Source organism: Homo sapiens, chromosome 6 (genome assembly GCF_000001405.40).
Source record: "Homo sapiens chromosome 6, GRCh38.p14 Primary Assembly".
Taxonomy (NCBI): domain Eukaryota; kingdom Metazoa; phylum Chordata; class Mammalia; order Primates; family Hominidae; genus Homo; species Homo sapiens.
The window spans coordinates 74,949,268-74,965,607 of NC_000006.12; the positions used below are offsets into that span (position 1 = coordinate 74,949,268).

At 35.4% G+C, this 16,340-nt stretch overlaps 3 annotated features.

The window, feature by feature from the left end:
* Positions 556-725: an enhancer, noted in NCBI's record as "experimental_94569 CRE fragment used in MPRA reporter constructs". NCBI's record gives its function as "activates a minimal promoter by MPRAs in K562 erythroleukemia cells, with activity observed for both the introgressed and non-introgressed 6:75659624 variant alleles {active_cell/tissue: K562}" and the evidence as "EXISTENCE:reporter gene assay evidence [ECO:0000049][PMID:34662402]".
* Positions 1,224-1,393: an enhancer, noted in NCBI's record as "experimental_94572 CRE fragment used in MPRA reporter constructs". NCBI's record gives its function as "activates a minimal promoter by MPRAs in K562 erythroleukemia cells, with activity observed for both the introgressed and non-introgressed 6:75660292 variant alleles {active_cell/tissue: K562}" and the evidence as "EXISTENCE:reporter gene assay evidence [ECO:0000049][PMID:34662402]".
* Positions 15,395-15,971: an enhancer, noted in NCBI's record as "NANOG hESC enhancer chr6:75674378-75674954 (GRCh37/hg19 assembly coordinates)". NCBI's record gives its function as "activates a minimal SCP1, AML or CMV promoter by ChIP-STARR-seq in primed H9 embryonic stem cells {active_cell/tissue: H9 hESC(primed)}" and the evidence as "EXISTENCE:reporter gene assay evidence [ECO:0000049][PMID:30033119]".

Consider the following 16,340-nt stretch of genomic DNA (forward strand, 5'->3'; position numbering starts at 1 on the left):
CCAAAAGCAAGACCTTTTTAACATATCCTTCAGCTTGGATAAAACTCCCCTTGTAATCTTTCACAAGATTCTGAGTCTGTGCTAATTAAAGATTGTCCTCTGGATCCCAAGTGGAGAGTGGGAGAATGCACATATTCTTGAGAGTAAGAAAAGCAGAGATTCCCAGAGGCTATGAAGAAGATAGGGTCTACAGGATCCCAAGAATACTGGGGAGCCAGTCCCCACAAAGTGCTAGAATGCCAGGAAAATATTTCAGAGTGCAAATAAAATGAGCCCTAAACACCAGAACTCTCAGCCTAGGCCAAGATTCCCACCTTCATATTGGTGCAGGAGCAGCAGCACCATAAACGACAACAGCCCAGGCCAGCTTCATTAATGAGGTGTCAGCAACCACTCACGGCCTGAGATGAAAGGCTCTGTCATAGCCCTTTATGCCTTATGCTTTCTGGTATGGCCTTGGGAAGGAAGAAGTTCCAAAAAGTAACTGAAATTGGATATGTTACATGTTCATGGAGTATAGATTCCTAGATAGGTCTTAATTTAGACCATTTAGATGAGTTCCATTTCTTGCTTGCTTGTTTGAAGTTGCAAATTTGTATCTTTCGATACAGCATCTGCACCACTGGTATCAAGAGCTAGAGTTACAGAAATAGCCACGAGCACATTATCACCAATATTGCTTCCTAACAGTGACATGTATTCTTATTTTTCAGTTGGTTAATGCCAAACCTGTGGACTCTCAATAATTATCACTTGCTCCTATGCTAACAGGCTAACAGAAATATTACCTCATTCCCTTTCCTCAATCATATTTATTTTTGTTATTCAAGTCAATATAATTAACTTTATCACACCAAACAAAAAATTCTATTCTCTGACATAATTATTTTAAAATTAGTGGAAGTAATCTAATCAATCTTATATACAAATAAATGTTGTCCGAATCCACAGCCATTGAAAATACCCTTCTGATAAATGGAATTCTTTGAAACAATAACTCAAAGACCACATTAAGTACCCTCTCTGCAAATAAATTATGTCACAGAGTTTAATGAAAGCCATAGGTTCATTATCACAAGTTAGATAGATTTTCCTCTCGCTATTTGTACTGATGCAATATAGTCAGAATTAGAGAATTACCAAATAAACTTGAGAACAGTTTAGTGTGAAGGTAAGTGAGAACAAACTGTTGAAGTTTTAATTTTATTATTTTCCCTTGATATTAAACTTCTTAGCCTCACTAGGTTTAGCGTTTTACATTTCTTTGTTAGTGGTGCTCTATTGTCTTGTTTGAAATCGAAAATGCTATTGACTTGATGACTATTTAGCCTATGCTTTATTTGTTTCCCTGGGTTATCCTGCTCCAAAGGAGAGGACATTGGTATAAGATAAGCCAATGACTGGTAAGTAGTGCAGAAAACTCCCTGCTCTGGCAGCACAGTACCTTCAGCATAGAACTGGAATAATATTATATTAAAAGTAGAACTTAATAACAAAATCGTTTTTCCATGCACCATGCCAAAAAGGAAAACATAATAAAATATGCAATGCATGCACTCATACTTATAGTCCAAATCATAATGAATGCTATGAAAATATGGATTTGGTTTTTACCAACTGATAAATAAGTGATATAATTTAGCAATCTGCCCGCTTAGAATCTCTCAGTCAAACGCAGGAAAATCCCTCTAGTAATTTTAACACAAAAATATTTTATTGGACCTAGAAACATCTTTCCAAACAGTAAGAAAAGGTAAGAGAAGAGGAGAGGCAAATAGACATGGAGGGTAGGGAGGAAAGAGAGAAGAAAGCAAATGGCTATTTTGAGTATTTTTAAGCATATACTATGTACATTTTTTCTTTAATATCATATTTGAACTTTCTAACATAATGAGCAAAAGCGCTCCTCTTTCACATGGTCCTGAGCAGTGACCTCTCACCTAATATACTCACATCTAACCTCTTGCTTCTCAAATCTGTCCTTTATGTGGTCACCAGTTATCCTCCCAAACAGACTGGATGATATCAACCCCATTTTTTAACATCTTTTACATAAATCCTGTTACCCAATTAATTAGGTCAAAACTTCTCCAGGCATGTCCCCTTCATTTATCTACACTAATACTCACCCAAACTATCTCTCACTGTATTTATTCACATCTTCACTCCCACAAGTGAACTGCTCAGTCAAGGAGAGTACCTCTTGCATTTGACAGCCATATTTGTGTTTCTTGTCATGCTCTTTCCATAGAGTTCCTTTCCAACTTCTTTCAAAATTTCTACCCCATTATACAAATTTCTGTCATATATACTTCATGAGACTTAGAACCCACTTCTGTTTTCTTCCCACCACCCTATACCCAGCAGCTAGCACAACATCTGCTGTGGTCAGCACTCTGGAGGGCAGAGACAATGTCATATTTATCTTTGTATCTGGTGCCTAGCCCCATATGCAATAAATGTCCCACAAGTGTTGGTTGAATTGAATAAATTTAAATTCCACATTTTGAAATTCTACTACTTTCTCAGGACTTACCTTAGACACAGCATTCCTGTGACCCTTGCTGGATCATGATGGTCCTGTCTACTCCCTCTTTCCTATTCTCTCCTGGCCCATTTTTAATAAGCCCTATTATAGCAATTGGTTCCTTTTGTGTTGCAGTATAATAGTTGTTTATGTGTCTTTCCCCTAAAATTTGAACTAAATCTTAGGTCAGAAGTAGATAGAGTTTATTTTGTACAATTCCTCACCAGTGTAGGAGCTGCTACTTCACAACCCAAATAAGCTGAGCCACTTAATCTTCTCTGTGTCCTGGCATTTCATGTACCAGTTCTAGACCTTTCACTACTCTGGAGTCTCTTCTACTTTTTGAAGAGGCACCTGGAATTAAGTTTATTAATCTATATATTCTCTTCAACCATGGGGAACAGTGGGATTCCTTCCCATAGTTGTCATATTATGCCTACCACCAGACCTGCCTTACAAGAGCTCCTGAAGGAAGCACTAAATATGGAAAGGAAAAAATCACTACCAGCCACTACAAACATACAGTCAAGTATACAGACCAGTGACACTATAAAGCAGTCACATAAATAAGTTGGCAAAATAACCAGCTAGCATCACAATGACAAGATGAAATCCATGTATAACAATACTAACTTTAAATGTAATGCCCTAATTATAAGACACAGAGTGGCAAGCTGGGTAAAGAGCCAAGACCCATTGGTATGCTGCCTTCAAGAGATGCGTCACCTCCAAAGACACTCAAAGTAAAGGGATGAAGGAAAATTTACCAAGCAAATGGAAAACAGAAAAAAAGGAGGTGTTGCAATTCTATTTTCAGATAAAACAGTATTTAAACCAACAAAGATCAAAAAAGACAAAGAAGGGTGTTGATCAAAAAAGACAAAGAAGGGTATTACATAATGATAAAGGGTTCAATTCAACAAGAAGAGCTAACTATCCTAAATATATATGAGCCCAACACAGGAGCACCCAGATTTATAAAGCAAGTTCTTAGAGACATTCAAAGTGACTTAAACCCCTACACAATAGTAGCAGGAGACCTTTAACTTTCCCCTGACAATATTAGACAGATCATTGAGACAGAAAATCAACAAAGATATTCAGGACCTGAACTCAGCACTGGATCAACTGGACCTTGTAGATACCTACAGAAAAAACAACAGAATACACATTCGTCTCATCACCACATGGCACTTACTCTAAAATCAATCACATAATCATAAGTAAAACACTCCTCAGCAAATGCAAAAGAACTGAAATCATAAATCTCTTGGACCACAGTGCAATCAAATTAGAACTCAAGACTAAGTAATTCACTCAAAACCATATAATTACAAGGAAATTGAACGACCTGCTCCTGAATGACTTTTGAGTAAATAATGAAATTAAGGCAGAAATCAAGATCTTTGAAACCAATACAATGAACCAGAATATCTGGGACACAACTAAGATAATGTTAAGAGGGAAATTTATGGCACTAATTGGCCACATCAAAAACTTAGAAAGAGCTCAAGTTAACAACCTAAGATCTCAAAGAAAAGAGCTAGAGAACCAAGAGCAAACAAATCCCAAAGCTAGAAGAATACAAGAAATAACCAAAAGCAGAGCTAAACTGAAGGAAATCGGGCCACAAAAACCATTCAAAAGATCAATGAATTCAGGAGTGAGTTTCTCAAAAAAATTTAGTAAAATAGATAGACTGCCTGTATTAATATAATCAGAAAAAGCCTTAGTAATTTTAGAGCCTCTTTTCTTCAACCATATATTGACTTTATGATCTAAACTTTTAAAATATCTATTAAGTCATTAAGTCACTTTTCATATATTAGGAACAGGTTTCCACTGTAATTCCATGCTTTGTCTCAGTCACTATTCTATTTGTTGAATGACTCATTTGTTGAATTAATTATGGATTAATACTTAAAAAAATCTTGACCAAATGGATATCATAAAAAGACTTCGCAAATCCCCTTCTAAAATCAAGACAGATGATAATAATGAAATTCCTCTATTCCAATGATTCTCAAGGTGTGTTTCCTGGACTGGCAGCTGCAACAGCAGCACCTGGGAACTGGTTGGAAATGCAGATTATCTGACTCCATGCCAGACCTACTGATTCAGAAACTCTGAAGGTGGGGCCCAGAAAGCCGGTTTTGACAAGCTCTTTGGTGATTCTGATACACTAAAGTGTGAGAACTACTTCCATAGTTTATCAACTGGATAATTCTCATGCTGTTCCTTCGATTTGCTATCTTCACCATGTTTGGCAAGTCTTTCCCTATAAGAAGGAATGGCAGAGCTTATTTCCAATATATTCCAGGTACTAGCAGGGTAGGTGGTCTTTAGTAAATTATTTAAACTGTTAGACACATTCTGTCCTCGTTTGTAAAATAGCACAGTAACAAAAATATTGCAGCATTGTAGGGATAGGGAGGATTAAAGGTAGTATACCCATAAAGGTATAAGCTGTACTTAATGTCCTTAACACATACTTTTTCTGATTCCCTTTCCTTCTCCTTCCATTTTATTTTCGTATTTATCAAATCACCTGTTTCTTGATACTCTATGTTAATGATCCAGTCTGATTTAGACAACGACGAATTTCCAAATACTTGCTTCTTATAATTTTCATTTAGCTAAATTTGCATTTGGCCATGAAGTTTCTACTATTTCCATCCAGTGATTTTACATTTCTATCTAGGCAATTATGTTTAAAAAGTACTTGGATGTGGAGTAGATATCATGGCTAAGCTTTCCATCTAGAACTCACCTTCAAAGCTCTAAGTTTATTAACATCACCTTATGTGAGGTCCACTCAAACTATAGTCAACAAATATTGAGTCCACCCAATGGTGGACTTAGCAATAGGCTAATAACCCAATGGGCTTAGCAATAGGCACTGGGTACTGGGGATCTGTGGAGGGTAAAACAATCCATTCCCTCACAGAGCTTCCAATTGAATGGATTAAATATATGCATCCAGCTGACTTCTTCCTCTGTATCAGAATTTATTTTTCTGATGAAGAAAGCTACATTCAGTGACTGAAGTAGGAAAACATGATGGAAATAGAAGTGTAATTATGTGCAAGAAGAAAAAGACAGAAAAGCATGTCTCAGAATATAAAATCCTGATTTCTGAAACCTGCTGTTTATTAGCTTATACTCACTAGCAGGATTTCCAGTTGTAACAAATGCTAGCCCTGCCAGGAAATTAAAGGAATATAAACTTTCTTCTAATCACTATTGAAACTAGAAACATTCTGTTTAGAAAAAGCTTGATTAATTTCAGTGTTCTAATCATGATTTTATTCAAATGCATTATTATTACTAGAGATTCAGAAGTTTTTGGAGACAGTCCAGTGGTTTCTGTGTGAGCCTTATTTGCTCAAACTGTACATATCATAGGCTTCTTGAGAAAATTGTCTTGTCCACGAATCTAGCACAGTGTGCAGCCCAGGGCAAGATCTCAATAAGGGATTGTTTATAAAAAAAGAGATCATAGTCTTGTAGCCAAAAAAGTAATCTAAACTGGGCCTACTGTTTCCAAGGATATGCTTATTGAAAATTATAATGGGTGTAGATACCCTACCCTCAAGAAAGATGGTACCAATTTACATTTTTCAATAACAGGGTGAAAGTGTACACTTTCCCAAATCCTCAACAATGCTGTATTTTGTTAGTCTTTATTTTTTGCTACTTTAATCAATTAAATATTAAAACTGGATATCCTTATTTGCATGGCATAGATGTAATGCTGAACATTATTTTATGTTTATAATGGTCTACTGTTTTTCTTTCTGTGAATTCTCTGTGTTCTCTGTACATGTTCTTAAAGATATACTCACCTGTTTGCTTACTGATTTCATTTTAGTTTTCGCAAATATTTTTCTGAATTCAGCGCATGTTTCTTTTTTTTTGCCTCTTTGCTCAATGTTCCTTTGTGTCCAATGTCCATTAACAGAGAATTTGGTTCACTAGAGGATAATACATATATATAATGCAATATTACACAGTCATTAAGAATGATGTAAATCTCTATTTATGGATATGGGCAAATGTTCATCATACATTGTTGAGTTTATATGGAAACAGGATAAAAACTAGGTTGAGTTTTTTATCTCATTTGTATGACATGTATTAATGTATGAGTAAATGTTCAAAGGATAGCATTTTCCAGATTTTCTTTGTTTTGTTCTCCAAAAAAAGGTATTCCAGTCTCATAGATTTGGGAAGTACTGCACATTAAGTCTTTTTTAGAGTTTCTCATAGCACAATCAGGAATAAAAATTCTGTGGCCTACAGCAAGCATGCTTAACATTGTTTAACCCAGCATTTCTCAAACTTTTCATTAAAGTCTTCTACTTTAAAAAATAATCTGAACCAGCATTTTACAGACAGCAGTTTGAGAAAGATGGCATGGAAAGCCACCTGGAAGGACACACCAAAATGGTAGGAGTGGTTATCTCTAGATACTGAAATGTAGGTAACTTTTACTTTAATATGTTTCTCTAATATCTGAACATTTTACAAAAGCCTGTATTATTTTGCAGTTAGAATAAATAATGTAACAATTTTCATTTTGAAAACAAGAGGAAAATCAACTATGCAAGCCAAATGTAGGGATCTTAAACATCGGTTTAACCCATTTGTCATGAGAACATTAGTAACATTTATTTTATAAACAAAGGTGTTATCAACATAATCTGGAATTGTTTGTCCAGTCACATGGGTGAAATTGGGCTGATTCTGCCCTTCTCAGAGACTGGAGAGTATGCATGTGTGTGCTGATACACTCAACAAGAAGATCTCCAGAAGCTGCTCCACTAGGCAAGGGGAGAAAGGAGATAAGGAGATGAGAAGAGAATGGATTGACAGACAACTAGGCAAGTTGGAATTGTAATAGAAAATAGACCAGCTTAAGCTCCACCTCCCCCACCCCTACCCACACAATCGATGTTCAGCATGTGTCAATTTCCTTAAGGACTGTGTTTGTATAACCTTTCCACACTAGTGGCATTGTTTCAAGACAGGAGGAAAGTAAGGAAAATAGTCAAGTAAGATACTCTTTGACTTTCTTCTTACAATGAGGATATCTCACTATTTTATTTATTTATTTCTCTATACATGCTAAAAGAAACTTTAAAACAATTTCTAAAACAAGCTTCAACTCAGAAAAATATGCCGCTAAGCCTGAATAACCTGATTCCTTAGGAAGAACATCTCTTCATCAGCAACTGTGCACAAAACCAAAGACACAAGTTTTGCAAGATATTTGCTTATATGGTGGCACTTATGAGCATTGCCTTCTTGGGCAAGAAACAACTTGGAAGGAGCAATGCTTATTCCAGCAAAAAGGTTTTATTAAAAGTGTAGGCAAACTACAAATGGTATTCATATCACAGAGGATGCTGCCAAAGACCTCAGGGGCATGAAAAACACAGCAAGGTGGCACCATAGTCCCGTGACTCAAGCTTACTCAAGGTGTTATGTCGGAGTCTTTCAAGGTTACTTTAAAGTTTCTAAATATCTCGCGGGGAACAATTGGTTCTGGAAAAAGAAAATATTAGAGCTAAAAATGAAGACAAAAATACGCTTTTGGTGGGCGTGGTGGCTCATGCTGGTAATCCCAGCAATTTGGGAGGCCGAGGCAGGCGGATCACAAGGTCAGGAGATCGAGACCATCCTGGCTAACACGGTGAAATCCCGTCTCTACTAAAGATACAAAAAAATTAGCTGGGCGTGGTGGCGGGCGCCTGTAGTCACAGCTACTCAGGAGGCTGAGGCAGCAGAATCCCTTAAACCTGGGAGGTGGAGGTTGCAGTGAGCCGAGATTGTGCTACTGCACTCCAACCTGGGCAACAGAGCCAGACTCCATCTCAAATAAATAAATAAATAAATAACTTTCCACTTAAGGGAAGTCCAGTAAATCAGGAGCTCATCACATCCACCACATCTGTGTTGCGGACCCAAGCATGGAGGAGTAAAAAGTGAGAGTAGTTTCCTCTTAAGGATGTGGCCTAGGCATTCACATCACTTCCACTCATATCCAATAGACCAGGACTTAATTATGTGACCACTGCACTCAAATGCAAGATGGGGTGGGAAATGTGAACTCTTCCTAGGTTACATGACCCCCACTAAAAACATGGGGTTCTATCCCTAAAAGGAAGAATGCAACAATGGATATCAGACAACAACTACCAGATTCTGCCACAAAGAGCCTTGTTTCCATTATGCAAATATTTTACATCTTTCAGAATAGTTTTACGAGGTTTTCTTTTTCATGTACAAACTTCCTATTATATTGTTAATTCTTAGGTATTTTCTATTTTGGAGGGCTACAAATGAGATCTTCTATTTTATTTTATAACTGGTTATTACTGGTGTATGAAAAATATATACATATTGTAGGCACCCAGTTTTCTGAATTTTCTTTTTTATTTCTAAGAGTTTTTTTTATTCTATTGAGTTTTCTAGAAAACTGTACTATCTCCTGTAAAGAAAGATTATTTTTCACTTATTTTTAAACCATATTTCTGTTTCATTTACTACTGTTTAATTTAGAACTTCTAAAAAGAACTATAGTAATCAAAAATCCACTAGAATAGTTTTTCACTGTTCAGACTGAATGTGGCAATTGCATTTTGTACGTGTTTTAACTAACAATTTTTAGAGCAGTTTAGATTTACAGAAAAATTGAACAGATACTCCAAAGAGCTCCCATGTGTTCTGCACAGTTTCCGCTTATTAACATTTTATATTATAGGTTGGTGCAAAAGTAATTGCCATCTACTTTTAATGGCAAAAAACATGATTTAAAATAATATTAGTTATAATATAACTATAGTATGGTACATTTGTTGCAATTAATGAAAAAATAATGATACATTTATTAGTAACTAAAATTCATACATCGTGTATTCAGTTTATACTGAATATATACATATTATATACAATTATACTGAATATATACATGTTATATACAATTATACTGAATATATACATATACATCGTGTATGTCTTTAGTTTTCACCAGATTCCTTTTAATGATCCAGGATCCCATCTAGGTTACCACACGACATTTAGTTGTCCTGGCTCCTTAGGCTCTTGGTTGTGACATTTTCTCAGACTTTCTTTGTTTTTAATGACCTTGACAATTTTGAGGAAGTTATTCTCCAGGCTTCTCCTCTATTAGGATTTTTCTGATGTTCTTCTCATGATTAGACTAGATTTATGGGATTTAAGAAATAAGACCGCAAATATAAAATTCCTTTTCATGTCATATCCAGGAAACATAATATCATCATAACTTATCACTGTTTATGTTTACCTTCATCACCTGCATGAAGTGTGTTTGTCAGATTTATCCATTGTAATATTACACTTTTTTCCCTGTTTCCATATCGCACTCTTTAGAAGGAAGTCATTATATGTAGTCTTAAAGGATGGCAAGTTTTATTCTCTTCTTAGGTTAGAGTATCTACATAACTTACTTGGAATTCTGCAAAGTAAATTTATCTCTTCTCCCTCATTGAATAATAATCATTTATTTATATCTGTATGAACTCATGCATAGCTTTTTATACTTTGACTTATAATCCAATACTTAAAAAAAAGTTTTTCTGCTCAACTTGTTCTAGCTTTAGCCATTGGGAGCACATTTCATTGGCTCCTGCACCTGTTTGTCTATTATTTGAAAATAGATAACCTCTATAACTTTCAAAAATATTGAACTCTTTTACAAAGAGTTTTTAATGTTTTTAAATAAGAAAAATGTCCTTCTTTAATACCATTACTATATGAAATATTAAAATATACAATTTTGACACTAATATATTAATGAATTCTCATTTTTAAAATCCTCTTCTATTTCTGAAATAAACCCTTCTTTATCTCAATATTTACTTTCTAATAGACTAGTAACTTGATTTGCTAATATTTTACTAAACATTTTATCATTTAAACTCAAATATGAGCTAAGTAGCTTCATTATATTTAATTATTTTATTTTCATTTTTTAATTTTTGTGTTATCATTTAGTATTAAGATTATGCTACCTTCATAAAACCTAATGAAGATGTTTTCACTTTTTCTATACTTTCAAAAATTGAATATACTGAGGGAAATAGTAGTAACTTAATGGCTTAAAATAACTACTCTTTAAGACCATTTGACTCTGCAATCTTTGGGAAAGTTAACTGATTTTTGTTATTTCTTCCAGTATTATTGAACAGTTAATACTTTCTGCTTTCTATTATTTAATTTTGTTTCAAAAATATCTCTAGTCTCATATATTTCCAAATAGAGGTGCACATATTATTCTTTTGTAATTTTCAATAATTTATTTTTTCTGATGATAAATACCATTTTTCTTTCAAATTTGTTTGTTAGTTCTGCAGGGGATGGGGTTTCTCTTTTACTTACTTAATCTTGCCATAGGTATAATTTTTCCCAAAGAAATACATCAATTTTATTTATCCATTCTGTATTCAAAATCATTTGTGTGTGCTTTCCTATTTATCAGTTCCTCCTCTTTTTTTCTTATGTTTGTTTTGTTGTAACATTTCTAGTTGTTAGGTAAAATATATAGTGGTTGTACTAGCTGGCATTCCCACCAGCAGTGTAAAAGCGTTCCCCTTTCACATCAATGCCATCATCTATTATTTTTTGATTTTCTAATTATGGCTATTCTTGCAGGAGTAATGTGGTATCTCATTGTGGTTTTGCTTTGCATTTCCCCGATAATTAGTGATGTTGAGCATTTTTTCATATGCTTGTTGGCCATTTGTATATCTTCTTTTGAGAATTGTCTATTCATGTCTTTAGCACACTTTTTGATGGGATTGTTTTTTTTTTCCTGATTTGTTTGAGTTCCTTGTAAGTTCTGGATATTAGTCTTTTGCCAATGCATACTTTGTGAATATTTTCTCCCACTCTGTGGGTTGTCTGTTTACTCTGCTGATTATTTCTTTTGCTGTGCTGAAGCTTTTCAGTTTAATTGGGTCCCATCTATTTATCTCTGTCTTTTTTCCAACTGCTTTTGGGTTCTTGGTCATGAAGTCTTTGCCTAAGCCAATGTCTACAAAGGTTTTTCCAATGTTATCATCTAGAATCTTTATGGTTTCAGGTCATAGATTTAAGTCTTTGATCTATCTTGAGGTGATTTATGCATAAGATGAGAGATGAAGATCCAGTTTTATGCTTCCACATGTGGCTAGCCAATTATCCCAGCATCATTTGTTGAATAGGGTGTCCTTTCCCCACTTTATGTTTTTGTTTGCTTTGTCAAAAATCAGCTGGCTGTTAAGTATTTGGCTTTATTTCTGATTATGTTCTATTGCTCTATAAGCCTATTTTTATTCCAGTACTATGCCGTTTTGGTGACTATGGCCTTATAGTATAGTTTGTAGTTGGGTAATGTGATGCCTCCAGATTTGTTCTTTTTGCTTAGTCTTGCTTTGGCTATGCAGACTCTTTTTTGGTTCCATATGAATTTTAGGATTGTTTTTTCTTGCTCTGTGAAGAATGATGGTGGTATTTTGGTGGGAACTGCATTGAATTTGTAGACTGCTTTTGGCAGTATGGTCATTTTCACAATACTGATACTATCCATCCATGAGCATGGGATGTGTTTTCATTTGTATGTGTTGCTTATGAATTCTTTCAGCAGTGTTTTGTAGTTTTTCTTGTAGAGGTTTTTTACATCCTTGGTTAGGTATATTCCTAAGTATTTTATTTATCTTTACAGCTATTGTAAAAGGGGTTGAGTTCTTGATTTGATTCTCAGCTTGGTGATTGTTGGTGTATAGCAGAGCTACTGATTTGTGTACAATAATTGTGTATCCTGAAAGTTTGCTGAATTCATTTAGCAGTTCTTGGAGCTTTTTGGATGAGTCTTTAGGGTTTTCTAGGTAGATGATCATATCATCAGCAAAGAGCAACAGTTTGACTTCTTTACCAATTTGGATGCCCTTTATTTCTTTCTCCTGTCTGATTGCTCTAGAGAGGACTTCTGGTACTATTTTGAATAGAAGTGGCAACAGTGGGCATCCTTGTCTTGTTCCAGTTCTCAAGGGAAATGCTTTCAACTTTTCCCCATTCAGTATAAAGTTGGTTCTGGGTTTGTCATAGATAGCTTTTACTATTTTAAGATATGTCCCTTCTGTGCTGATTTTGCTGAGAGTTTTAATCATAAAAGGATGCTGGATTTGGTTAAATGCTTTTTCTGTGTCTATTGAGATAATCATATTATTTTTGTTTTTACTTCTCTTTATGTGGTGTATCACATTTATTGACTTGTGATATTAACTTGCATATGTTAAACCAACCCTGCAGCCCTGCTATGAAACCCACTTGATCGTGATGGATTACCTTTTTGCTATGCTATTGGATTTGGTTAGCTAGCTGAGGATTTTTGCATCTATGTTCATCAGGATACTGGTCTGTAGTTTTCTGTATTTTGTTATGTCCCTTCCTGGTTTTTGTATTAGGGTGATACTGCCTTCACAGAATGATTGAGGGAGGATTCCTTCCTTCTCTATCTTTTGGAATAGCTTCAGTAGGACTGGTACCAATTCTTCTTTGAATATCTGATAAAATTTGGCTGTGAATCCATCTGGTCCTGGACTTTATTTGTTGGCAATGTTTTTAATACTGTTTCAATCTTGCTACTTTACTTGTTATTGGTCTGTTCAGAGTTTCTATTTCTTTCTGGTTTAATATAGGAGGGTTGTATATTTCCAGGAATTTATCCATCTCTTCTAGGTCTTCTAGTTTGTGTGCGTAAAGCTGTTCATAGTAGCCTTGAATAATCTTTTGTATTTCTGTGGTATTAGTTGTTATACCTCCCATTTCATTTCTAGTTAAGTTTATTTGAGTCTTCTCTCTTCTTTTCTTTGTTAATCTCGCTAATGGTCTATCAATATTGTTTATCTTTTCTAAGAACCAGCTTTTTGTTTCATTTATCTTTTGTATTGTTTTTCTTGTTTCAATTTCACTTAGTCCTGCTCTGATCTTTGTTATTTCTTTTCCTCTGCTGGGTTTGGGTTTTGATTGTCCTTGTTTTTCTAGTTCCTTGAAGTGTGATCTTAGATTGTCCATTTGTACTCCTTCAGAGTTTCAATGTAGGCATTTAATGCTATAAACTTTCCTCTTAGCACCACTTTTGATGTATCCCAGAGGTTTTGATAGGTTGTGTCACTATTATCTTTCAGTTCAACTAATTGTTTAATTTTCCTCTTGATTTCATTGTTAACCTAGAGATCATTCAGTAGCAGATTAATTTCCATGTGTTTGTATAGTTTTTAGGGTTCCTTTTGGAGTTGATTTCTAATTTTATTCCACTGTGATCTGAGAGAGTGCTTAATATAATTTTGATTTTCTTAAATTTATTTAGACTTGTTTTGTGGCCTATCATAGGGTCTATCTTGAAGAATGTTCCATATGCTGATGAAAAGAATGTATGTTCTGCAGTTGTTGGGTAGAATGTTCTGTAAATATTTGTTAAGTCCATTTGTTCTAGAATATAGTTTAAGTCCATTGTTTCTTGGTTGACTTCCTTGATGACTTCTCTAGTGCTGTCAGTGGAGTATGGAGTCCCCCACTACTATTGCGTTGCCATCTTATCTCATTTCTTAGATCTAGTAGTAATAGTTTTATAAATTTGGGAGCTCCAGTGTTAGGCACATGTATATTTAGGATTGTGATATTTTCCTGTTGGTCTAATCCTTTTGTTAAATAATGCCCCTCTTTGTCTTTTTCAACGGTTTCTTTAAAGTCTGTTTTGTTTGATATAAGAATAACTACTCTGGCTCACTTTTGGTTTCCATTTTCAAGGAATACCTTTTCAACTCCTTTATCTTAAGTTTATGTGAGTCCTTATGTGTTAGGTGAGTCTCTTGAAGACAGCAGATACTTGGTTCATGGATTTTTATCCACTCTGCCATTCTGTATCTTTTAAGTAAGCATTTAGGCCATTTACATTCAAAGTTAAGTATTGAGATGTGAGGTACTGTTGTATCCATCATGCTAGCTGTTGCCTGAATACCTTGGGTTTTTTTCATTGTGTTATTGTTTTATAGATCCTGTGAGATTTATGCTTTAAGGAGCTTCTATTTTAGTATATTTCAGGTTTATTTCAAGACTCAGGACTCCTTTTAACATTTCTTGTAGTGCTGACTTGGTAGTGGCAAATTCTCTCAGCATTTGCTTGTCTGAAAAAGATTTTATCTCTCCTTCATTATGAAGCTTAGTTTTGCTATATACAAAATTTTTGGCTGATAATTATTTTGTTTAAGGAGGCTAAAGATAGGGCCCCAGTCCCTTCTGGCTGGCAGGGTGTCTGCTGAGAAATCCACTGTTCATCTGATAAGTTTTCCTTCATAGGTTACCTGATGTTTTTGCCTCACAGCTCTTAAGATTCTTTCCTTCATCTTGACTTTAGATAACGGGATGGCTATGTGCCTAGGTGGCGATCTTTATGCAATGAATTTCCTGGTGTTCTTTGAGCTTCTTGTATTTGGATGTCTACATCTCTAGCAAGACCAGGGAAATTTTCTTTGATTATTCCCTCAAGTAATTTTTCTGAACTTTTAGATTTCTCCTTTTCCTCAGGAATACCAATTATTCTTATGTTTGGTCATTTAACATGATCCCAAATTTACTGGAGGCTTTGTTCATTTTTTAAATATTTTTTCTTTGTCTTTGTCAGATCCGGTTAAGTCAAAAGACTTATCCTCAAGCTCTGATTTTCTTTCTTCTACTTGTTCAATTCTATTGAAACTTTCCAGTGTATTTTGCATTTCTCTAAGTGTGTCTTTCATTTCCAGAACTTGTGATGTCTTTTCTTTATGATATCTATTTCTCTGGAGACTTTTTCACCCATATCCTGTATTGTTTTTTAAATTATTTAAGTTGGTTATCACCTTTCTCTGGTGCATTCTTAAGTAGATTAATAATCAACCTTCTGAATTCTTTTTCTGGCAATTCAGAGATTTCTTTTTCATTTGGATTCATTGCTGGAGAGCTAGTGTGATCTTTCAGGGGTTTTATACAACCTTGTTTTGTCATATTACCAGAATTACTTTTCTGTTGCCTTCTCCTTTGAGTAGACTGCTTCAATGGAAAGATCTGAAACTCAAGGGCTGCCATTCAGATTCTTTTGTCCCACAGAGTGAGCCCTTGATGTGGTGCTCTCCCTCTTCCTGTAAGTATAGGGCTTCCTGAGAGCCAGACTGCAGTGATTGTTATTGTTCTTCTCAGTCTAGCCACCCAGCGGGGCTACTGAGCTCCAGGCTGGTGCTGGAGAACGTCTGCAAAAAGTCCTGTGATGTGATTCATCTTCAGGTCTCCCAGCCATGAATATCAGCACCTGCTCCATTGGAGGTGGCAGAAGAGTAGACTCTGTGGAAGTCTTTGGTTGTACTTTTGTTTAGTACACTGGTTTTCTGGAATCCTGGTTATGCTAACAGTTAAGTTGTCATGTAAACAGACTGAAGACCTCTGGCTAGCCAGGGTATTGCAGTTAGTGGAATTAGCTATTGTTTTCTCCTTCACTGGAGCAGTGTTGTTCTTGTCTAAGTTGCTGTAATGGCTTGAATTGGTTGGCCTCCAGCCAGGAGGTGGCAGTTTATCAAGAGAGTTCCAGCTGCAGTAGTAGAAGGGGGATATAATCTTGTCCTACATTGGCCAGGATGAGTACTCTAGTTTCTCAGGTGATGGGCAGGGCCATAGAGCTCCCAAGATGTTATGCCTTTTGTCTTCAGCTACCAGAGTGGGTAGAAAAAAACCATCAGGTGGGGGCAGGGTTAGGTGG